The 23,370-nt window shown below is 54.5% G+C and overlaps 1 protein-coding gene across 16 annotated transcripts in view, besides 5 other annotated features; it reads left to right on the top strand.

Moving 5' to 3' along the window:
• The window catches only part of TNRC18 (trinucleotide repeat containing 18), a 117,024-nt gene that overhangs the window by 13,298 nt on the left and 80,356 nt on the right, over positions 1 to 23,370 (top strand). For 15 of the 16 annotated variants that reach the window (XM_017012737.3, NM_001080495.3, XM_017012728.3 and 12 more), the window contains 3 exons: positions 15,942 to 16,097; positions 19,909 to 20,052; positions 21,201 to 22,865. In XM_017012737.3, the coding sequence (XP_016868226.1) occupies positions 15,977 to 16,097; positions 19,909 to 20,052; positions 21,201 to 22,865 (1,930 nt within the window). In that variant the 5' untranslated portion in view covers positions 15,942 to 15,976. Of the gene's footprint in view, positions 1 to 3,262; positions 3,388 to 15,941; positions 16,098 to 19,908; positions 20,053 to 21,200; positions 22,866 to 23,370 lie in introns of all 16 variants that reach the window. The other variant, XM_047420983.1, reaches the window with a different exon arrangement.
• Positions 1,658 to 2,247: an enhancer, noted in NCBI's record as "H3K27ac-H3K4me1 hESC enhancer chr7:5447921-5448510 (GRCh37/hg19 assembly coordinates)". NCBI's record gives its function as "activates a minimal SCP1, AML or CMV promoter by ChIP-STARR-seq in primed H9 embryonic stem cells {active_cell/tissue: H9 hESC(primed)}" and the evidence as "EXISTENCE:reporter gene assay evidence [ECO:0000049][PMID:30033119]".
• Positions 2,248 to 2,837: an enhancer, noted in NCBI's record as "OCT4-NANOG-H3K27ac-H3K4me1 hESC enhancer chr7:5447331-5447920 (GRCh37/hg19 assembly coordinates)". NCBI's record gives its function as "activates a minimal SCP1, AML or CMV promoter by ChIP-STARR-seq in primed H9 embryonic stem cells {active_cell/tissue: H9 hESC(primed)}" and the evidence as "EXISTENCE:reporter gene assay evidence [ECO:0000049][PMID:30033119]".
• Positions 5,680 to 6,181: an enhancer, noted in NCBI's record as "H3K4me1 hESC enhancer chr7:5443987-5444488 (GRCh37/hg19 assembly coordinates)". NCBI's record gives its function as "activates a minimal SCP1, AML or CMV promoter by ChIP-STARR-seq in primed H9 embryonic stem cells {active_cell/tissue: H9 hESC(primed)}" and the evidence as "EXISTENCE:reporter gene assay evidence [ECO:0000049][PMID:30033119]".
• Positions 8,612 to 9,113: an enhancer, noted in NCBI's record as "H3K4me1 hESC enhancer chr7:5441055-5441556 (GRCh37/hg19 assembly coordinates)". NCBI's record gives its function as "activates a minimal SCP1, AML or CMV promoter by ChIP-STARR-seq in primed H9 embryonic stem cells {active_cell/tissue: H9 hESC(primed)}" and the evidence as "EXISTENCE:reporter gene assay evidence [ECO:0000049][PMID:30033119]".
• Positions 12,536 to 12,905: an enhancer, noted in NCBI's record as "active region_25576". NCBI's record gives its function as "activates an Ori minimal core promoter by ATAC-STARR-seq in GM12878 lymphoblastoid cells {active_cell/tissue: GM12878}" and the evidence as "EXISTENCE:reporter gene assay evidence [ECO:0000049][PMID:35858748]".

Raw genomic sequence — 23,370 nt, 5'->3', positions numbered from 1 at the left:
TGTTTTGTTATGGGGTCTTTTTGCATTTACTGTCTTGGGTGCTGCATAGACTGTAGCAAACTGGAAACTCAAGACTTTCATTCTGAAATTTTTTGTATTATTTTTATTTTTAAATTTCCTTCCCAGTATTTTTGCTATTCTCTCTAGTATTCCTATTAGTTAGATATCCTGGGTCTCCTGGGCTAATCATTGAATTTTTTCTTTTCTTTTTTTTTTTTTTTTTTTTGAGACAGAGTCTTGCTCTGTTGCCCAGGGTGGAGGGCAGTGGCATGATCTTGGCTCATTGCAACCTCTGCCTCTTGGGTTCAAATGATTCTCATTCCTCAGCCTCCCGAGTAGCTGGGATTTCAGGCGTGTGCCACCATGCCTGGCTAATTTTTGTATTTTTAGTAGAGATGGGGTTTCACCAGGTTGGCCAGGCTGGTCTCAAACTCCTAGCCTCAAGTGATCTGCCCGCTTCAGCCTTCCAAAATGCTGGGATTACAGGTGTGAGCCACTGCGTCTGATCTGATCATTGAATTTAAAAAAAAATTTTTTTTTTTTTTTGAGACGTAGTCTTGCTCTTTCACCCAGCCTGGAGTGCAGTGGTGCGATCTCGGCTCACTGCAAGCTCCACCTCCCGGGTTCATGTCATTCTCCTGCCTCAGCCTCCCGAGTAGCTGGGACTACAGGCACCGGCCACCACGCCTGGCTAATTTTTTGTATTTTTTTTTTTTTTTTTTTTAGTAGAGACGGGGTTTCACCATGTTAGCCACGATGGTCTCGATCTCCTGACCTCGTGATCCACCCGCCTCGGCCTCCCAAAGTCTGGGATTACAAGCGTGAGCCACTGCGCCTGGCCTTCTTTTGTATTTTCTATATCTTGCAGTTTCTTCTTTCTAGGAGATTTTCTTAATATTTTCTTAATGGTATCTTCTAACCTTTCGATTTAATTATTATTATTTTTTTGAGACAGGGTCTCCCTGTGTTACTGGGGCTGGAGTTCAGTGGTGCAATCACTGCTCACTGCAACCTTGAGCTCAAACGACTGGGGCTCAAACGATCCTCCTGCCTCAGCCTTCTCGGACTACAGGGGTGCGCCACCACGCCTGGCTAGTTTTTGTCGAATTTAATTTTTAAATTTGAGCTATCATATTTTTATGTCCCAAGAGCTCTTATAACCTGAGTTTGCTTTTTTTTTTAATAGCATCCTGTTCTTGTTTCATGCATACATTAATTCCCATTACTAGGATATTAATTGTATTTTTTTCCCCTGGCGTTTTCTTCTTTCATGCATTGTCTTTGTTTTCTCTGAGTCTTTTTTCTCTTTTCTCTTTCACCTTGGAGACTTCCCGTGGGCACCTGCTGATAATCATTCTCAGGTGCCCCTTCTTTAAGAAAAAGCAGATGGGATTCAGATGTAAGGGTGGGGCTTGTTGGCCATTGAGGAGCTTCTTGAATGCCCTCTGTAAAAAGATCTTTCCTTGTTGACCTTGTATATCTCACAGGCAAGAATTCAGCGGTTTCTTGTCTGTTGACGTTGAAGCCAGGCTGTTCCTGTCCCAAGAGCTGAGTGTGCATGTTAAGGTTGATGATTCGCACTCTGATTCCTGTTTTCCCTTTGGTCCACACCCTAGTCCTGAGAATGCATACCCTCAGTGGTTCCATCTTTCCCTAGTAAACAGAGGGGTCAGTGCTTCTGTGGTGAAACCAACTCTCTTGTCCTCAGCTTTTCCGTGATCCCTGGCTTTACAGGTACTAGGGTCTCTGGATTCAGTCTCCAGAATTGCTGGTTTCCTGGTTGTCTGCTCCAAGCCTAAGTGTTTCTTTTCCCCACTCTCCACTGTGCCAGGCCGCACATCTCTTGTCTCTCTGCTTTCTTGCTTCCAAATGGTTTTTTTTTCTTTCTGTTTTTTGAGACGGAGTCTCATTCTGTCACTCAGGCTGGAGTGCAGTGGCGTGATCTTGGCTCACTGCAACCTACCTCCACCTCCTAGGTTCAAGCGATTCTCCTGCCTCAGCCTCCCGAGTAGCTGCACGCGCTGCCACACCCGGCTAATTTTTATATTTTTAGTAGAGACAGGGTTTCATCATGTTGGCCCGGCTGGTCTCAAACTCCTGACCTCAGGTGATCTACCCGCCGTGGGCTCCCTAAGTGCTGGGATTACAGGCGTGAGCTATGCGCCTGGCCAGGGGGATGTTTCCTCCTTTCCACTTCTCTCCTATTTTGCTTTCGTTCCATTTTTTTTTTTTTTTTTTGAGACGGAAGTCTTGTTCTGTCGCCAGGCTGGAGTGCAGTGGCACGATCTCAGCTCGCTGCAACCTCCGCTTCCCGGGTTCAAGAGATTCCCCTGCCTCAGCCTCCTGAGTAGTGGGGACTAGAGGCGCGCGCCACCACGCCCAGCTAATTTTTGTATTTTAGCAGAGACGGCGTTTCACCATGTTGGCCAGGATGGTCTCGATCTCCTAACCTCGTGATCCACCCCTACTGCGCCCGGCCACTTTTGTTCCTTTTTGTATTACTGTCATTTTTGTGAGGTTCTGGTGTTTGGGAAAGGATTTGTAAAGATCAAATACTGTGCAGTCTCTTGTAGGCTCACACTCCTTCTCTTGCTACTTTGCCTGGGAGATCTGGTTCTTTTGTCTCTGCTAAGAGGCATCTGATGTCTTCTAGCTTTTTCTGGAGCAGTTCCTAGAAGGCCCTCCACCCCTACCTCTTTTTCCACCCTGGGAGGTGGAGTCTCGGTAGGGGGGAAACCAGTCACTGGGGAAATCCTTTGTGATTGCATGAGAATTGACAAAGTCTGGAGCCCTAGGGGCAAGGCTGAGATGGACGTATTTGCATATCATTGGCTGGCCTGAGGCCTTGACCTCTCCTTGGCCGCCTTTGGGATTCCCTTTATTTAAATTCGAACACTTATTTTGTGGGCTGGGTACCTGATTGGAGCAAGACAAAGTCCCTGCCCATATTTGAGGATGGGAGAGGGACTGGAATTAAGCCAGAATTGCCGGCTGGTGCTGTGATCCCAGGTGGGGAGTAACTGGGAGCCCAGCTTGATGGATCTTTGGGAATCTGCTCACCTGGTGGGGAAGTCAGGGATGGCTTTCCGCTGGAGCGGAGGCTGGAGGTGTAGGAGGGGCAGGATGGGGTGAAGAGGTTGGGGTGGGCCTCCCTCCTCCCTGGGGCCAGCCCCCAGGCTCTCCTGCCCCAGGTGGGGCAGGGCTGAAGCGGGTTGATCTGGGCTGGTGGCTACTGCAGTCTTGGTCCTGGTTCTGGTCCCAGCATAGCTTGGAGGAGACTGCAGCCTCGGACTCTCACCTGCCTCTTTTCTGCGCCGATGGGAGTTCCAGAACGGCGGCGGTGGCCACAGGTCTGATAGCCCAGCCGCAGTGCCAAGGACGTGCAGGGTGAGCCCCCTGTCCCACCACCCCAGCCTCGAGCTCTATCACCGGAGTGTGGGGGTGCCCCAGACGTCCCTGCGAGGCCGGGGCACAGAATCTTGCCATTTTAGGCTCAGAGAGTGTGAGACGCCCACCCCCAGGTCCCACAGCGGGAGGTGAGGGGTTCAAGGCCCTAGCTCCCTGCAGGAACGCTGGGGGCTGGCAGGGAGGTGGGGGTGTTGATAGGAATTTGTCTGTTTTCCTTTTTCACTTCTTGGCTCTTCTTTTCTTTTCTTTTTTCTTTTCTTTCTTTCTTTTTTTTTTTTGAGACAGAGTCTCGCTCTGTCGCCCAGGCTGGAGTGCCGTGGTACAATCTCGGCTCACTGCAACCTCTGCCTCCTGGGTTCAAGTGACTCTCCTGCCTCAGTCTCCTGAGTAGCTTCAATTACAGGCATCTGCCACCATGCCCAGCTAATTTTTGTATTTTTAGTAGAGACGGGGTTTCACCCTGTTGGCCAGGCTGGTGTCGAACTCCTGACTTCAGGTGATCCGCCCGCTTCTGCCTTCCAAAGTGCTGGGATTACAGGCTTGAGCCACTGGGCCCGGCCTCTACTTACTGCTTTCTGTCTCTGTGAATGTGAGTACTGTAGGTACCTCAAAAGTGGCATCACACACAGTATTTGTCTTTAAAAACATTAAAAAAAAATTTTTTTTTGAGACAGAGTCTCGCTCTATTACCCAGGCTGCAGTGCAGTGGCGCAATCTCGGCTCACTGCAACCTCCGCCTTTTGGGTTCAAGCAGTCCTCCCACCTCAGCCTCCCGAGTAGCTGAGATTACAGGTGCCGCCACCACAATGGGCTATTTTTTGTATTTTTTGTAGAGATGGGATTTCACCATGTTGGTCAGGCTGGTCTCCAACTCCTGACTTCGAATGATTTGCCCGTCGGCCTCCCAAAGTGCTGGGATTACAGGCGTGAGCCACTGCACCTGGCCCTAGTATTTGTTGTTTATGTCTGGCTTATTTCACTCAGCTTCATGTCCTCAAGGTACATCCACGTTGTTGTGGAATGTATCGGATTGTCCTTCCTTTTCAGGGCTGAATAATATTCCACTGGCTGGATGGACCCCATTTTGTTTATCGATTTGTAGATGGACAGCTGGGTTCTTTCTACCCTTTGACTGTTGTGAATAGTGCTGCTATGAACATGGGTGTGCAAATACGTGTTCGAGTTCTGGATTTCAACGTCTGCATACTTTTCTATTTTTATTTTTTAAAATAGAAACGGGTCTCTTGATGTTGCCGAGACTGGTCTCAAACTCCTGAGCTCAAGTGATCCTCCTGCCTTGGCTTCTCAAAATGTTGGGATTATGGGCATGAGCCACTGTGCCTGGGCTAATTTCTGTATACTTTTTATTTTTATTTTTTGTTTTTGAGACAGAGTCTTGCTCTGTTGCCCAGGCTTGGAGTGCAGTGGTATGATCTCGGCTCATTGCAACCTCCCCCTCCTGGGTTCACGTGATTCTCCTGTCTCAACCTCCCGCGTAGCTGGGACTACAGGCACAAGCTACCATGTCTGGCTTTTTGTTTTGTTTTGTTTTGTTTTTTTGAGACGGAGTCTTGCTCTGTCACCCAGGCTGGAGTGCCGTGGCACAATCTCGGCTCACTGCAACCTCCGCCTCCCGGGTTCAAGGGATTCTCCTGCCTTAGCCTCCTTAATAGCTGGGATTACAGGTGCGCACCACCACACTTGGCTAATTTTTGTATGTTTAGTAGAGACAGGGTTTTACCATGTTGGCCAGGCTTGTCTCAAACTCCTGACCTCAAGTGATCCACTCGCCTCAGCCTCCCAAAGTGTTGGTATTACATGTGTGAGCCGCAGTGCCTAGCCTTGGCTAACTTTTGTATTTTTAGTAGAGACAGGGTTTTGCCTTGTTGGCCAGTCTGGTCTTGAAATCCTGAGCCCAAGTGATCCTCCTGCCTCAGCTTCCCAAAGTTCTGGGATTATGGGTGTGAGCCACTGTGCCCAGCCTAATTTCTGTATACTTCTTTTTTTTTTTTGAGACGAAGTCTCACTCTGTTGCCCAGGCTGGAGTGCAGTGGCAGAATCTCGGCTCAGTGCAACCTCTGTCTCCCAGGTTCAAGCAGTTCTCCTGCCTCAGCCTCCCAATAGCTGGGACTACAGGCGCATGCAGCCACACCCAGCTAATTTTTTTTTTGTATTTTAGTAGAGACTGGGTTTCACCGTGTTGTCCAGGCTGGTCGTGAACTCCTGAGCTCAGGCAATCTGCCCGCCTCGGCCTCCCAAAGTGCTAGGATTACAGGCATGAGCTACCGTGCTCCGCCATTTCTGTATACTTTTTAGAGACACCTTTTCATTTTATACACACACACACACACACACACACACACACTGAAAGTGTGCATGCGCTGCTGGGGTTTTGATGGGGATTGCATATGGAATCTGCAGATCATTTTGGCTGCAGCGAGCATCCCAGTAAGTAGGTCTGCCTGTTTCCTTGGGAGGGATCCCCAGAAGTGGGTCTGGGCGCCTGCAGTCCTCGGTAAGCCTTGCGGATTTGTTTTCCAAAAGCTGGAGATGAATTGGCTCAGTTCTCATCCTTCCCGGGCAGCTAACCACCCAGCGCCCTCCACAACTAGAAGCAAAAATTTGCTGATTTGATGGAATGAAAATGACATCACTGTTTCAATACTTCTTTGTAATGCTAATGGCCTTGAAATTTCGATGGAGTTTAGCCATTTACAGGTTCTCTTTTTCAAATTGCCTGGGATTCTTTTTTTTTCTCAAGACGGAGTCTTGCTCTGTCGCCCAGGCTGGAGTGCAGTGGCGTGATCTCGGCTCACTGCAACCTCCGCCTCCCAGGTTCAAGCAGTTCTCCGGCCTCAGCCTCCTGAGTAGCTGGGATTACAGGCATGTGCCACCACACCCACCTAAGTTTTGTATTCTTAGTAGAGATGGGGTTTCACCACATTGGCCAAGCTGGCCTTGAACTCTTGACCTTGTGATCGAACCGCCTTGGCCTCCCAAAGTGCTGGGATTACAGGCATGGTCCACCGCCCCCGGCCCTGCCTGGGATTCTTATGGCATTCTGAGAATCTTTATATAGCCAGAGTGTTAACCCATTCTTTGGCTTAGATATTACAGAACTCTCTGGATCTTGTGATCTATGGGAGTTTGAAGGTCATTCTATCTAGAGGGTCCTTGCAGGATTTTTAGCTGCTATCTCGGAAACACCTATGTTACCTGTCAGTGTTTAGGGCCAGAATAATGCCTTTCCTGGGTGACAATTCTGGTTTGACTGAGTCTATGAGATGCTCTGATAGTCTGTTGACATTTTAAGGGATGCAGTTTTTTTTTTTTTTTAAACAGACAGGGTCTCACTCTGTTGCCCAGGCTGGTGTGCAGTGGTGCAACCATAGCTCAATGCCTCTAATTCCTGGGCTCAAATGATCCTCGTGCCTTCAACCTCCCACGTAGCTGGGACTACAGGTGTACACCACTAAGCCTGGCTAATTTTTTAATTTTTTTGTATAGATGGGGTCTTGCTAGGTTGCCCAGGCTGGTCTTGAACTCCTGGCCTCAAACGACTCCTGCCTCAGCCTCCCAAAGTCCTAGGATTGACAGGTGTGAGCCACCACACCGCAGTCTGGGATGCAGTTGTTGTGAGAGGTCAAGATGTTTTAAAACGTGAAGATAAACCGGGCATGGTGGCTCACGCCTGTAATCCCAACACTTTGGGAGACCGAGGCGGGCGGATCACCTGAGGTCGAGAGTTCGAGACCAGCCTGACCAACATGGAGAAACCCCGTCTCTACTAAAAATACAAATTTAGCTGGGCGTGGTGGTGCATGCCTGTAATCCCAGCTACTCGGGAGGCTGAGGCAGGAGAATTGCTTGAACCCGGGAGGTAGAGGTTGCGGTGAGCTGAGATCACGCCATTGCACTCCAGCCTGGGCAACAAGTGAAACTCTGTCTCAAAAAAAAAAAAAAGTGAAGATAAAATGTAATGTGTTTGGTTATGAAGGGCTGTCTGGGATTGAAAATGTGCAACCTATGTCTAACAGACGCTTCTGCTTTGTCTGGGTGGTGCGGCTGAGTGGAGAAGTGTAGGTTTGGGAGTGAGAGCCTCAGTCTCTTTATCTGTAAAAGGGACACCAATCCCTCTCCCCGTTGACAGGAGTGGGGAGCACAGGGTAGAGAAGCAGGTCCCAGAGAATGCTGCAGGGAAGGCCTGGGCACCCTTCCTCCAGCTAATCAGGACCTTGCCCCCCCATTCCACACCATAAATATATTTTTTTTTTTGAGACAGAGTCTCACTCTGTCGCCGAGGCTTGAGTGCAGTGGCACTGTGTCGCCTCACTGCAACTTCTGTCTCCTGGGTTCAAGCAGTTCTCCTGCCTCAGCCTCCCGAGTAGCTGGGATTATAGGCGTCCACCACCACGCCCGGCTAGTTTTTATATTTTTAGTAGAGATGCGGTTTCACCACGTTGACCAGGCTGGTCTTGAACTCTTGACCTCAGGTGATCTGCCTGCCTCGGCCTCCCAAAGTGCTGGGATTACAGGCGTGAGCCACTGCGCCCAGCCGCATAAATATTATTTTCTAATTTTTTTTTTTGTCTTTTTGAGACAGGGTCTCGCTCTGTCACAGGCTGGAGTGTGGTGGCGCGATCTCGGCTCACTGCGACCTCCGCCTCCTGGGCTCAAGTCATTCTCCCACCTCAGCCTCCTGAGTAGCTGGGATTACAGGCCCACACCGCCATGCATGGCTAATTGTTTTTAATTTTTGTAGAGATGGAGTTTCACCGTGTTGCCCAGGCTGGTCTCAAACTCCTGACCTCAAGTGATCTGCCTGCCTTGGCCTCCCAAAGTGCTGGGATTACAGGCATGAGTCACTGTGCCTGGCCTAAAAAAAATTTTTTTGGGATGGGGTCTTGCTCTGTTGCCCAGGCTGTTCTTTTTTTTTTTTTTTTTTTTTTTGAGACAGAGTCTCGCTGTGTTGCCCAGGCTGGAGTACAGTGGCATGATCTCAGCTCACGGCATGCTCCGCCTCCCGGGTTCATGCCGTTCTCCTGCCTCAGCCTCCGGAGTAGCTGGGACTACAGGGGCCCGCCACCACGCCCAGCTAATTTTTTCTTTTTGTTTTTAGTAGAGACGGGGTTTCACCGTGTTAGCCAGGATGGTCTTGATCTGCTGACCTTGTGAGCTGCCCGCCTCGGCCTCCCAAAGTGCTGGGATTACAGGTGTGAGCCACCACGCCCGGCCAACCAGGCCGTTCTTAAGCTCCCGGCGGTCCTCCCACTTTGGCCTTCCAAAGTGTTGAGATTACAGGCATGAGCCACTGTGCCCAGTTCCTACCGTAAATACTACTTGAGTACCTCCGATGTGCAGCATAGGACTAGGAATAAAAAATAACTCGTAGCATACCTAGTAATGCTGGGGTGAGCAGTCTAGCCAAATGTGGCCCACGTCTTGTTTTTGTAAATAAAGTTTTATTGGTACAGAGCAACGCCCAATCGTTTACTGTCTGGGTGCTTTCCTGGCAACAGGCAGCAGACACCCTTTCAAAGAAAAGCTTGCTGTCTTCAGTGGGCAGAGACAATAAGGAACTAACACCTGTGATAACAGGTGATAAGCAGTGGAGAAAAACATTTCAGGAAAGGGCGTGGCAGGGTAAGTTGCAATGTGAAAAAGGACAGGGAAGGCTGAGCTGTAAGAGAAGGGAGTGAAGGAGTTAGGGTATAGACAGGCGGGAGTGTGCAGGGTCTTCCCTGTATATCTGGAGGGAGGACCTGATTCAGGGCGAGGGGCAGAGGTGGGCCGGAGCTACTCTGGACTAGCCCATTGGCAGTGACAAAGCCTTCTGGTTCTTTGCTGTTTAAGGAACTTATATCCCTATCATGATCACATGCAGCCCCCCCGCCCCCCCCCGACTCGAACCAGGGAGGACTTCAGGTGCCCACCATACAGTTTCTAGAAGGGTCCCCAGCAACTACTGTTGCAGAGGGAAGATTGCATTGGTGGGCCAGACATGGTGGGTGAGTCACTCGGCCTCCCAAAGCATTGGGATTACAGGCGTGAGCCACCGCACCTGGCCTTAGTTTTAATTTTTAATAAATTTTTTTTGAGACAGGGTCTTGCTCTGTCTCCCAGGCTGCACGAAATCTCAGCTCACTGCAGCCTCAGCCTCCTGTGCTCGAGCAATCCTCCCACCTCAGCTTCCAGGGTAGCTGGGTTACAGGCGTGCACCACCACACCCGGTTAATTTTTTTGTATTTTTTTGTAGAGATAAGAGTCTCTATCAGCCCAGGCTGGTCTTGAACTCCTGGGCTGAAGTGATCTGCTGCCCACCTTGACCTCTGGTAGTGCTGAGATTAAAGGTGTGAGCCACCACGCCAGGCTACAGCTTGCATTTTTTTCATGGAGGTGAAATTCACGTGGCATACAATTAACCATTTGAAATGTGTATACTTTAGTGGTGTTTGGTGTATTCATCCTGTGTAATCACCAGCTATCTATGGTTTCAAAATTGAATATTTATTTATTTGAGAGAGAGTCTCACTCTGTCGCCCAGGCTGGAGTGCAGTGGCGTGATCTCGGCTCACTGCACCTTCCACCTCCTAGGTTCAAGTGATTCTCCTTCCTAAAAACCTCCCGAGTAGCTGGGACTATAGGGACACGACACCATGCCCGGCTAATTTTTGTATTTTAAATAGAGACGGAGTTTCACCATGTTGGTCAGGCTGGTCTAGAACCCCTGACCTCAGGTGATCCGCCCGCCTCTGCCTCCCAAAGTGCTGTGATTACAGGCATGAGCCACCACTCCCAGCTCTGAATTTTTGTTTTAAGCAAGGACAAATGGCATTTGGCTAGAAGCAGACACGGACTCTGACCTTGTAGTAGGTGCTTTTAGCTTCTCTGAGCTCCAGGGTTTGTAACCATAAATAATAACAATAATCATAGACCAGGCTCAATGGCTCAGGTCTGTCATCCCAGCACTTTGGGAGGCCGAGGTGGGAGGATCGCTTGAGCCCAGGAATTCTAGACCCCAGACTTCGCAACATAGTGAGATCCTGACTCTACGAAAAAGAAAAAATAAAAATGAGCTGTACATGGTGGTGCACACCTGCAGTCCCAGCTACTCAGGAGGCAAAGGTGGGGCGATTGCTTGAGCCCGGGAGGTTGAGGCTGCAGTGAGTCATGATCGCACCACCTCAGCTCCCCAGGTAGCTGGGACTATAGGCGCCTGCCACCACGCCCAGCTAATTTTTGTATTTATAGTAGAGACGGGGCGGGGGCGGGGGGTGGTTTTCGCCATGTTGGCCAGGCTGGTCTCGAACTCCTGACCTCAAGTGATCCACGATCCACCCGCCTAGGCCTCCCAAAGTGCTGGTATTATAGGTGTGAGCCATCGTGCCGGCTGTGTGTTTTAGGTTTTTTTGTTTTTGTTTTTGAGACACAGTGTCGCACTGTTGCCCAGGCTGGAGTGCAGTGGCGCGATCTTGGCTCACTGCAGCCTCTGCCTCCTGGGTTCAAGCAATTCCCCTGCCTCAGCCTCCTGAGTAGCTGGGATTACAGTTGTGTGCCACCACGCCCGGCTAATTTTGTATTATTGGTAGAGATGGGGTTTTACCATGTCTGCCAGGCTGAACTCCTGGCCTCAAGTGATCTGCCCGCCTCGTCCTCCCAAAGTGCTGGGATTATAGGTGTGAGCCACTGTGCCCAGGTGTGTGTTTTAGGTTTTGACGGTCATTGGTCTTAGCTTCTAAGGTGTCGGGTGAGATAATAACTGGGGTGAGTAGGCGGCAGCCAGTTACTTGATTTGGGGAGCCAGGTCTTGAGCTCAGCCTAGGGCGAGAGGCAGGGAGACCCCCATACCGCAGGTTGGTATGAGGGATTCCAGTCAAGTCTTTCGAGAGGCCAGTGAGCTCTGGGCCTAACTCAGTGCCCCCTGGCACCCTGAGGCTTGCATCCTTCTTGGTGAAACGGGGGGATGGCAACTGCTCGGTCCTTGGGTGTGGGTGTGAGCAGTGGGTGGGGCAGGGGGGCACTGTGGGGGCTTGGAGTATAGTCTAGAGATGGAAGGAGACCAGGCAGGATGGCCTGGCATGGGCTGTGCTTCTTCGGGGTTTATTTTAGAGCCTCTTTTGTGAGTTGCGGGATGCCTTGATCCTCTCCTCACCCTAATGTGTATCTCTTTGCGTTGGCCCTGGGAACATTGGAAATCACATTTATGGCTGGACAGGGTGGCTCATGCCTGTAATCCCAGCACTTTGGGAGGCCAAGGCAGGAGGATCGCACGAGGCCAGGAGTTTGAGACCAGCCTGGGCAACATAGTAAGACCCCATCTCTACAAAAAAGAGAAAGAAAAAAATTAGTGGGGTGTGATGGTGTGTGCCTGTGGTCCCTGCTACCCAGGAGGCTGAGGCTGGAGGATTGATTGAGCTCAGGAGTTGGAGGCTGTAGTGAGCTATGATTGAGCCACTGCACTACAGCCTGGGTGAACAGAGAGAGACCCTGTCTTTAAAAAAAAGAAAAGAGGCCGGGCACGGTGGCTCATGCCTGTAATCCCAGCACTTTGGGAGGCCAAGGCAGGAGGATTGCTTGAGGCCTGCAGTTTGAGACCAGCCTGGGCAACATCGCAAGACCTCATCTCTGCAAAAAAGAAAAAGAAAAAAATTAGCTGGGTGGCCAGGCACGGTGGCTCACGCCTGTAATCCCAGCACTTTGGGAGGATGAGGCGGGTGGATCACCTGAGGTTGGGAGTTCGAGACCAGCCTGACCAACATTGAGAAACCTCATCTTTACTAAAAATACAAAATTAGCCAGGCGTCGTGGGGTATACCTGTAATCCCAGCTACTTGGGAGGCTGAGGCAGGAGAAACACTTGAACCCGGGTGGCGGAAGGTGCGGTGAGCCGAGATCGCGCCATTGCACTCCACCCTGGGCAACAAGAGCGAAACTCCCATCTCAAAAAAAAAAAAATTTTTTTTTGCTGGGCCTGATGATGTGTGCCTGTGGTCCCAGCTACCCAAGAGGCTGAGGCTGGAGGATTGATTGAGCTCAGGAGTTGGAGGCTGCAGCGAGCTATGATCGAGCCACTGCACTGCAGCCTGGGTGAATTGAACAGAGTGAGACCCTGTCTCTAAAAAAAGAAACAACACTCGTGCAATTGGGTAATCCCAAATAGAAGTATGTCCTGGGTGGCAGGTCACAGGTGGCAGGTTCCAGCCACTGTGATATGGCAGGAAGTAAGGAAGATAGTCCCCGCCCTCAAGGAGGGAACTGTCTCTCGGGGAAGACAGAGGCATGAAATCCACAAGGAGGCTGGCAGATCTGTTTCCGAGGGGTTGTGGGTGGTCACAGGTCACTTGGGGCCTGCTTGGGTCGTGTGGCTGTTGGAGGCTTCTCTGGGGCCCAGGGAGACCCGAGGTGGGAGTGAAGGAGGAGCATTCTAGGAGGCCTGGGAGTTCGTGCCTGACGGGCCAGGCGGGAAAGGGGCAGGCTCCTGACGTGACCAGGGAGAAGTTTGTTTGTTCTGGAGAGTGAGGTGAGGGGGGTGGCACGCTGGCCTCATCGCCATAGCTGAGTGGGGATTGTGTGTCCATTTTACAGAGTGGCAGACTGAGGCACTGAGAACGGCACTGCCTTGCTGGGGATGCTGGGGGTTCCCGGCTGCCCCGCCCAGCCTGGGAGGAGGGGCTTTGGGTGCCATTGAGCCCTGTGGTGGGCAGGAGCCGTTGGCTGGCATCCGGGCCTGGGTGCTGCTGGGCGGGTTTCACAAGCCCGGGCAGGGGCCGGCCTGGGCCATTAGGCTTCCGTGCAGCCTGCGGCAGGAAGAGCTGGCGGCTGATGTAAGCTCTTGCGCAAACCCTGGCTGCTGGCTTCCGGAGCCTTCTACCCACCCGCCTGCCACAGCAAGGCGGAAGCCCGGGGCTCAGCAGGGCTTGGAGGCCCTGCTGCCCCGGCTTGGGCCGCATGGATGAACTGACTGGCCACCGAGGCCCCGGGGCCCGAGGGCTTGGCGCTGGAGTCCGGTGAGGGGGCTGGGCCTGGCTGGACTGGAGTGTTGGGGGCCGGACACGGGGTGGTGGTGATGGCGTGTGGCCCGAGGGCACCCCTTGCTGCTCTGCCCACTCCTGTCTTTGGGGCCCAAGGTGGAGGCCCTGCCCTTCTTTGCCTCAGTTTCCCCACATGTACCCCAAAGAAGATGGGTTGGATATTCTGGGATCCTGTGCCCCTGGGAGGCGGTCAGTGAGCACTTGTATACAGGCCCTTTATTGGGGAGAAGGGAGGCACTGGGGACTCAGAGGCTGGACTGGGATCTGTGAGCTCCCACAGGCTGGACCGGGGCCATCTAGGAGCCCACATCTCCTGCAAAGCCACATAACTTATCCATGCCCCCTGTAAACAGTGCTCACAACACAGGGCCTTAAAGGAGGTAGCTCTAGGGTACACACGGAATCCCTCCGCTGGGGGCTGGCCAGTGGTAGCACCCAGCTGGAGGTGCTTTGCTGCCACCTCCTGAGGGTGTTGCTGGGAGGATTTGAAATCAGCTGCACGGTGCCTGGTGCATTCCAGCTTTTAGCGAATGGGTGCCATGGCTGGTTATTGTTATTATTTATATTTTGAGTCCAGGTCTTGTTCTGTCGCCTGGATTGGAGTGCAGTGTTGTAATTGCAGTCACAGCTCACTGCAGTCTCCCAGCTCCTGGGCTCAACCCATCCTCTCGCCTCAGCCTCCAGAGACTATAGGCGAGAGCCACCTTGCCCGGCCTGTTGTCATTATTTATCATTATATTGTTTTTTTTTGAGACGGAGTCTCACTCTGTTGCCCAGGCGGGAGTGCAGTGGCACGATCTCAGCTCACTGCAACCTCCACCTCCTGGGTTCAAGTGATTCTCCTGCCTCAGCCTCCCGAGTAGCTAAAATTACAGGTGCCTGCCACCACGCCCAGCTAATTTTTTGCATTTTTTTTTTTTTTTTTTTGAGACAGAGTCTCTCTCTGTCGCCCAGGCTGGAGTGCAGTGGAGCGATCTCGGCTCACTGCAACCTCCGCCTCCGGGCTTCAAGTGATTCTCCTGCCTCAGCCTCCCGAGTAGCTAAAATTACAGGTGCCCGCCACCACGCCCAGCTAATTTTTAGCATTTTTTTTTTTTTTTTGAGACGGAGTCTCTCTCTGTCGCCCAGGCTGGAGTGCAGTGGAGCGATCTCAGCTCACTGCAACCTCCGCCTCCCAGCTTCAAGCGATTCTCCTGCCTCAGCCTCCCGTGTAGCTGGGACTACAGGTGCCCGCCACCACATCCAGCTAATTTTTTGTATTTGTCTTTTTAGTAGGGGCGGGGTTTCACCATGTTGGTGAGGCTGGTCTCTAACTCCTGACCTTGTGATTCGCCTGCCTTGGCCTCCCAGAGTGCTGGGATTATAGGCTTGAGCCACCGTGTTCGGCCTCATTATATTGTCATTGTGGTTAAACACATGCTTCCTTCCCTATCATTCCCGAAGGGAGGCATGTTTATCTCCATTTTGTTGATGTGCAAACCGAGACCTGGTAAGGGAAGCCCCGTGCGCCAGGGCCTGCATGCTTCTCTCTGACCTGTGACCCAGAGGCCTGCCAGGGTCTTCCCTTAGAGGGGATGGCGTTTGGGGCTCGTGGGACAGAGCCCCTGGGTGGCAGCTGGGAGGCACCCTGTCCGATGTGGGCCTGGCCACGTGGGGCATGGCGGGGCTGGCTGTGGCTTCCACCCAGGCCCTGCTGATTTCCATCATGTTTCTGAGCAGCAGTCTGCCCCGTGGCCCCTATTGGCAGTGACCCCGGGGTGGGGCCTGCTGTCTGGAGGGGTTGCCCTCCACGGGGCTCCCTTAGCGGCCCCCACGCCTGCCGCTCCATTCATCACGGATTCATTCCCTAAGCCACTGTGGCTCGGTGGTGCCAGCCATGGGCTGGGGGACACCCTGCAGGGCTGCATTCTGAGTCCCTGCTTTCTGGCTGTGTGACCTGGCACTTCCCATCTCTGAGCCTCACCTTCTTTTTCTGTGAAATGGGCACACGGGGCTGGCTAGGGCTGCTGTGGGAGGTGATTCTCTGGCTGGAGGGTGGGTGTCCTCTCTGGGCCTGCAGAGCTCAGCATATGAGCCCCCCGCCTGTAAGTCCCCCACCGCCTTGCCCTGTGGCCTCTGGAAGTCCCAGTGCGCCACCGACTTCAGGATTCCACCTGCAGATGGGGAGAATGGTGCCGGGCCGGATCTGGGCTGGTTGGGCGGCAGGGGTGGAAGGCCCTCCTCCGAGGGTGCGGGGTGCCCAGGGCTGAGGGTCTGCTGTGGGGGGCTTCCTGCCGTATTGTGCTTTCTCAAGCCCTGGGTCTGGTTGGGTTGATCCAGGACCATCTTGCAGCCCAGGGGTGGGGCCGGAGCAGGGGAACCCTCTTTGGTCTCCTGGCCAGCATCAGCTCCACACAGCTGGGGAGAGGCGGCGGTCTCGGGGCGGTGGGTCGGGGCGGTGGGCTGGGGCGGCGGCGCCTCCCTGGTTGTCTGCCTGACGGTCCTCCCAACTTCTCTCTGCAGGCGAGGCCTTCTTGGGCAGCTTTGTGGCCAGCGGGATGGGGCCCTCGGCCTCGTCCCATGGGAGCCCAGTGCCACTGCCCTCTGACCTGTCTTTCCGCTCCCCAACCCCTAGCAACCTGCCCATGGTGCAGCTGTGGGCCGCCCACGCCCATGAAGGTAAGGAACATGCCGGGGTCGGGGCTGAGGGCTGCTGGGCTGACGTCCCAGCCACTCTGGCCACTTCATGTGCCCCTCTGTTGTCATCGCTGAGCTGGGGCTGGTGGGTCCCAGGTCACCTGGCTTCCCTGTTGTTTCTCAAACGCTCAGGGCTTCTTCTTGTCACTGTCACAGGGCATTTGTATGAGCTGTTTCCTCTCCTTTCAGCCTGACACCCCATGCCACAGACCACCTTCCAGTCCTCCTCCGGCTCAGCTCAGAGACCCCCTCTTCCGCACCCACTTCCATCACTTGCTTGTGACGACAGATTATCTCATCATTCATGAACTACCCGCTTTCCCACCGGAGTGAGCCCTGAGTTCAGGGCCTAGTGTGATCTACTCAGCACTGTATCCCTGGTACACAGTAGGCTCATTAATAATTACAGGAGCAGGCCGGGCATGGTGGCTCACAGCTGTAATCCCAACAGTTTGGGAGGTGGAGGTGGGAAGATCACCTGAGGGCAGGAGTTCGAGACCAGCCTGGGCAACATAGCAAGACCCCATCTCCACAAAAAAAATTTCCCAGAGCGGGGGGACCTGGGGCTGTTGGGGCCTTTTCTTCTGCATTTCTGCAGCCATGCCCCTCAATGTAGGGGCTCTGCAGGCCTGGCTTCCCCGGGGTCGTGAGCAGATTCTGGATTTCTCTAGAGCCTCACTTTGATTTTCTGCCTGCAAAGGAATGGGCCTGCAGACCTCCAAGCTCCTCTGTCTTCTCTGGCTTTGACAGGTTCTGGATGTTGGGCGCTAGGTACTTCCTTCTCCCTCCTCCCTCCTTCCTCCTTCCTCCTCCCAGGTGTCCTGTAGGTGCTCGTGGTTCCTGGAAGGTTGCAGCCCTGGAGCTCCTGCTGCAGGCTTAGGGCTCTTCCGGCCCTCCCCAGCCACTCTCCCTCCACTTCCTCCTGCGGGGCCAGGTCTGACCGTCATCCCGAATCCTGCGGCTGCTGTGTTCAGCCCAGGAGGAGACAGGTTCAGCCAGAGGCGTCTCTAGTCACAGGACCCCATCCAGTCCTTACAGTACTTTGCCCATTGTACAGATGAGGTCAGCGAGTCTGCTCTTCCTGGACACTCTGGGGAAGGCATCTGAATCCAGGCACGAGGGTGCCCAGCCTGCACAGAGTGGGCCTTCTAGGCTGGGGTCGCACCTGAGCCTCCCACTTTAACCAGCCAAGGCAGATGCCAGAGGGTCTGGATGAGGAGAGCCTGCCTCTCGGGACTGTCTGCCACCAGCTCACTACCTCTCTGTCCCTGAGACTTTTCTCTTTGGCCAACAAATCCTAGTGATGACCACAAACACACAGGGTGCTTACCACAGCCCAGTGCACACTCAGCTCACTTCAGCCTCAGAGCCAGCCCTGCCCGGGGGAGGGACTGTTAGGCCCTTTTTTTTGAGACAGGGTCTTGCTCTGTCGCCCAGACTGGAGTGCAGTGGTGCAATCTCAGCTCACTGCAACCTCCGCCTCCCAGGCTCAAGCCATTCTCCCACCTCAGCCTCCTGAGTAGCTGCGACTACAGGTGCACACCATCACGCCCGGTTAACTACTGTATTCGTTTTTGGTGGAGTTGGGGTTTCACCATGTGTCCCAGGCTGGTCTTGAACTGCTAGGCTCAAGCGATCGTCCCACCTTGACCTCCCAAAGTGCTGGGATTACAGGCATGAGCCACTGTGCCCGGCCTATTAAGCCCATTAGGTCCATTTTACAGACGGGAGAGCAGAGACCTGATGCCTGTGTGGGAGAGCTGTTTTTTTATTGTTGGTTGTATTTTACTTATTTATTTATTTTTTGAAATGGAGTCTTGCTCTGTCGCCCAGGCTAGAGTATATAGTGGCACAATCTTGGCTCACTGCAACCTCTACCTCCCGGGTTCAAGCAATTCTCCTGCCTCAGCCTCCTGAGTAGCTGGGATTACAGGCGTGCGCCACCACGCCTGGCTAATTTTTGTATTTTTAGTACAGACAGGGCTTTACCATGTTGGTCAGGCTGATCTCGGTTCACTGCAACCTCTGCCTCCTGAGTTCAAGAGATCCTCCTGCCACAGCCTCCTGAGGAGCTGGGACTACAGGCGCCTGCTACCACACCCGTCTAATTTTTTGTATTTTTAGTAGAGATGGGGTTTCCCCATGTTGATCAGGCTGGTCTCGAACTCCTGACCTCGTGATCCACCCAACTCGGCCTCCCAAAATGCTGGGATTACAGGCATGAGCCACTGCTCCGGCTGGGAGTGCTGTTTGAATGATTGGATGAGAGAACAGGTATCGGGTAGCCCTTTTGTTTGTGGGTGTTGTCAATGGCATGATTATTGACAAGGCGGTGCTGGAGAGAAGACATCGGCCCAGTGGACCAGGGACAGGTCCTGCATCCCTGGCCTTAGCAGGGGCAGCTGGGTATGGGGTACCTGAGTCCCTGAGAGATCTCTAATTGGCCTGGGATCCCATAGGACTCTGGGCTTAGGCAGAGAATCAGGACCCTTACCCAGCACCCTAGCACCTGCCTGCCTCTTAGGGCTGTCATTCTGTGTGCCCTTTAAAAAAAAAAAACTATTTAAATTTTTTTTTTTTTTTTTTAAATAGAGATGGGGTCACACTATGTTTCCCAGGCTGGTCTCAAACTCCTGGGCTCAAGCAATCCTCCCCCATCGGCCTCCCAGAGTGCTGGGATTAAAGGTGTGAGCCACCATGCCTGGCCTCTGTGTGCTCTCTTAGGTGACTTCTCCTCTCTCCATGGCTACCCCTTCTTTCTTTGTCCTGCAAGGTCCCAATTCTGTTTATTTTTATTTTTAAAAAATTCTGAGCCGGATGTGGTGGCTCACACCTGTAATCCCAGCACTTTGGGAGGCTGAGGTGGGTGGATCACTTGAAGCCGGGAGTTCGAGACCAGCCTGATCAGCATGGTGAAACCCCATCTCTACTAAAAATACAAAATTAGCCGGGTGTGGTAGCAGGCGCCTGTAATCCCAGCTCCTCAGGAGGCTGTGGCAGGAGGATCTCTTGAACTAAGGAGGTGGAGGTTGCAGTGAACCGAGATCCTGCCACTGCACTCCAGCCTGGGCCACAGAGTAAGACTCTGTCTCAAAAAAAAAAAAATCTGAATAGTTGAAGTCAGCACGTCCTGATGCTGGTGCTGGGCATTGCTGGTGAGGGGGTGGCCTTTGGGGAGGCGGGGAGGATCCTTGGTGGGAGGAATTCCTTCCTGGCAGCTCCTGCCTGGGAGACCCAGCAGCTGAAGATGCTGGGTCCGCTGAGGTTCAGAGAAGGCAGGTGACCAGCTTGGGGTCACACAGCAGAGAAAGGGCCTGTGTTAGGCTGAGGTTAAGAGTCCTGGCTGCAGGGTTCGATGGTCTCGATCCAAAGCCAGGCAGCTCTGCTGTATCGTCTTGGGCAAGTGGCCTGCTCTGAGTTTTCTCGTCTTTAAAGTGAGGACATTAAGTCTCTTCCTTATAGGTTGTTTTTGAGGTTTAAATGAGGATGACAGTGGCAAAGCTCTTGGTCATGTTTGGTAGGCTGTTATCGGGCCCCGCTAGTTGGATCCATTCTGATCCTCTTTCTGGGGGGGACTGGAGACCCCAGTCCCCCGTGAGGGCTGCCTGGGCCTGGAGAGAGACCCAGGGTTGGGGAGCAGGAGAATGCATTGCCCTGAGGAGCTGCTGTTAAACCTCAAGGCGCCCTGTACCAGCGGTCGGCTGCCAAAATAGTTTATTTCCAGGAGCTGGAAGGAAGCTCCTGGTGAGCAGCACGAATTGGCCCAGCCCAGCTTTTCTCTTTTCTGTTACAGGCTTCTCCCACCTGCCCAGTGGGCTGTACCCATCCTACCTCCACCTGAACCACCTGGAGCCCCCCAGCAGTGGGAGCCCCCTCCTCAGCCAGCTGGGTCAGCCCAGCATTTTCGATACCCAGAAAGGTCAGGGGCCAGGAGGAGGTAAGACTGGAGTCCGGGGTTGGGGGTGGCACAGGGGCCTTCTGAGAGGCTTCTGGGGCCTTTGGCAGCATCCAGGTAGCCCCCAGCTCTGTCCAGGATGCTGGCTTTTTTTTTTTTTTTTTTTTTGAGACAGGGTCTCACTATGTTGCCCAGGCTGGAGTGCAGTGGTGCGATCATAGGTCACTGCAGCCTCAAACTCCCAAATGATGCACCTGACTCAGCCCCCCAAGTAGCTGGGACTGCAGACACACCCCACCACAGCCAGCTGACTTTTTAACTTTTCTGTAGAGGTGGAGTCTTGCTGTGTTGCCCAGGATGGTTTCAAACTCCTGGCCTCAAGCAATCCTCCTACCTCGGCTTTCCAAAGTGCTGGGATTACAGATGTGAGCCATTGTGGCCTAAGATGCTTTTTTGAGACCTGAGTCCCTAAGACCCCCCACAGGCTCCTTGGGCCCACCCACAGCCCTGGGTGCCTTCTGGTCACACTGTCCTCTTAGGGGCCCTGCTAGGCCTTCCGGGCAACTTTGAAAACAAACCCTGGTCTCTCCTTTTACAGATGAGGAAACTGAGGCTTGGGAAGGGTAGATTTAAACTTGGTTGTAGGTATTTCCAGAGCCTGCGCTCTCTAGGGCTGGGACGCCCATTTCTTCTTGCCCTGGGGGGTGCCTTGCCTTGGTGTGAAACCTCGGGGCTCCCTGCACCGAAACCGTTTAATTTCCAAGAAAAAACACTGGGTCGAGTGCGGCTCAAGCCTGTAATCCCAGCACTTTGGGTGGCCGAGACGGGTGGATCACCTGAGGTCAAGAGTTCAAGACCAGCCTGACGAACATGGTGAAACCCCACCTGTATTAAAAATACAATAATTAGCCGTGCGTGGTGGGGTGCGCCTGTAATCCCAGCTACCGGAGAGGCTGAGGCAGGAGAATCGCTTGAACCCAGGAGGTGGAGGTTGCAGTGAGCCAAGGTTGCGCCACTGTACTCCAGCCTGGGTGAGGAGAGCGAGACTCTTTCTGAAAAAAAAAACCAAAACCAAAACACTGGGGGAGGCATGGGTTGGTCCATCCCCCTCTCAGGGGTCCGCCTCCGCCCAGGCAGGGGTGGGAGGGGAGGTGGCGCTCGCTCACTGCCTGCTGTTCCCTTCTCCGCAGACGGTTTCTACCTGCCCACCGCGGGGGCTCCGGGCTCCCTGCACTCTCACGCGCCCTCGGCCCGGACCCCTGGCGGCGGCCACTCCTCGGGCGCCCCGGCCAAAGGCTCGTCGTCGCGGGACGGTCCAGCCAAGGAGCGGGCGGGCCGCGGCGGGGAGCCGCCTCCGCTTTTCGGCAAGAAGGACCCGCGCGCCCGGGGCGAGGAGGCCTCGGGGCCACGGGGCGTGGTGGACCTGACCCAGGAGGCGCGCGCCGAGGGCCGCCAGGACCGGGGGCCCCCGCGCCTGGCTGAGCGCCTGTCGCCCTTCCTGGCTGAGTCCAAGACCAAGAATGCGGCGCTGCAGCCGTCGGTACTGACCATGTGCAACGGCGGCGCCGGGGACGTGGGGCTGCCCGCGCTGGTGGCCGAAGCGGGGCGCGGGGGTGCCAAGGAGGCTGCCCGGCAGGACGAGGGCGCGCGGCTGCTGCGGCGCACGGAGACCCTGCTCCCTGGGCCGCGCCCCTGCCCCTCACCGCTGCCCCCGCCGCCCGCGCCCCCCAAGGGGCCTCCTGCACCCCCCGCGGCCACCCCCGCCGGCGTCTACACCGTCTTCCGCGAGCAGGGCCGTGAGCACCGCGTGGTGGCGCCCACCTTCGTGCCTTCCGTGGAGGCCTTCGACGAGCGCCCGGGGCCCATCCAGATCGCATCCCAGGCGCGCGATGCCCGGGCCCGCGAGCGCGAGGCTGGCAGGCCAGGGGTCCTGCAGGCGCCCCCCGGCTCCCCGCGGCCTCTGGACCGGCCCGAGGGCCTGCGCGAGAAGAACTCGGTCATCCGCTCGCTCAAGCGGCCGCCCCCCGCGGATGCCCCCACGGTGCGGGCCACACGCGCCTCCCCGGACCCCCGCGCCTACGTGCCTGCCAAGGAGCTGCTCAAGCCCGAGGCGGACCCGAGGCCCTGCGAGCGTGCGCCCCGCGGCCCAGCCGGTCCTGCAGCCCAACAGGCCGCCAAGCTCTTCGGCCTGGAGCCCGGGCGCCCCCCGCCCACCGGCCCTGAGCATAAATGGAAACCCTTCGAGCTGGGCAACTTCGCCGCCACGCAGATGGCCGTGCTGGCCGCGCAGCACCACCACAGCCGCGCCGAAGAGGAGGCCGCCGTGGTCGCTGCCTCCTCCTCCAAGAAGGCCTACCTGGACCCTGGGGCTGTGCTGCCCCGCTCGGCGGCCACCTGCGGCCGGCCGGTCGCTGACATGCACTCTGCGGCCCACGGGTCTGGAGAGGCCTCGGCCATGCAGAGCCTTATAAAGTACAGTGGCAGCTTTGCCCGGGACGCCGTGGCCGTGCGCCCTGGTGGCTGTGGCAAGAAGAGCCCCTTTGGAGGTTTGGGCACCATGAAACCCGAGCCTGCGCCCACCTCTGCGGGTGCCTCCCGAGCCCAGGCCCGTCTCCCACACTCCGGAGGCCCTGCAGCGGGCGGCGGCCGGCAGCTGAAGCGGGACCCCGAGAGGCCCGAGAGCGCCAAAGCTTTCGGGCGCGAGGGCTCTGGTGCCCAGGGTGAGGCAGAAGTGCGACACCCGCCTGTGGGCATTGCAGTGGCTGTGGCCCGGCAGAAGGACAGTGGCGGCAGTGGCCGGCTGGGGCCTGGGCTGGTAGACCAGGAGCGCTCTCTGTCGCTGAGTAACGTCAAAGGTAGGTCCTGGGCAGAGCCCAGGTGCGGGTAGGATCTTGGGTCTCTCTGCCGTTTCCCGTACATTACAGTGTGGGCCCTTTCCCTTTGCTATTGCTAAGTCTTTATAAGTATCATTTTTTAAAATGGTCTTGAATGTTCTGTTGCGAGCATGTACCATGGTTCAGTTTTCCACTCCCTTGATGGGCATTTTCGTTTGTTCCTTCTCCGATGTTTTGTGTTCGGAACGTTGCTTTCAGTCTTTGTGTGCATCGCACCTTCGTGATACTTTCAGTCATTTCCTGAGAACAGATGGTCTTGGGAATAGACAAATATCAAACCTTCAATTTGAAGTCATCGAGGGACCTAACTGTGCCTTACCGATTCCAGTGTCCCCGGTACCTAGCCAGCCTGGGCTCTGGCACGTAGTAGGTGTTTGATGGATGAGTGAATGAGTGAGGAACAGACAGAAACTGGGGTTCCAACATCCTCACGGTCTTGATACTCAGTACTTGAGTGACTTTTTAG

The sequence above is a fragment of the Homo sapiens genome, chromosome 7, assembly GCF_000001405.40.
Source record: "Homo sapiens chromosome 7, GRCh38.p14 Primary Assembly".
Classification (NCBI taxonomy): Eukaryota; Metazoa; Chordata; class Mammalia; order Primates; family Hominidae; genus Homo; species Homo sapiens.
This window is presented reverse-complemented; position numbering and strand designations above follow the sequence as displayed.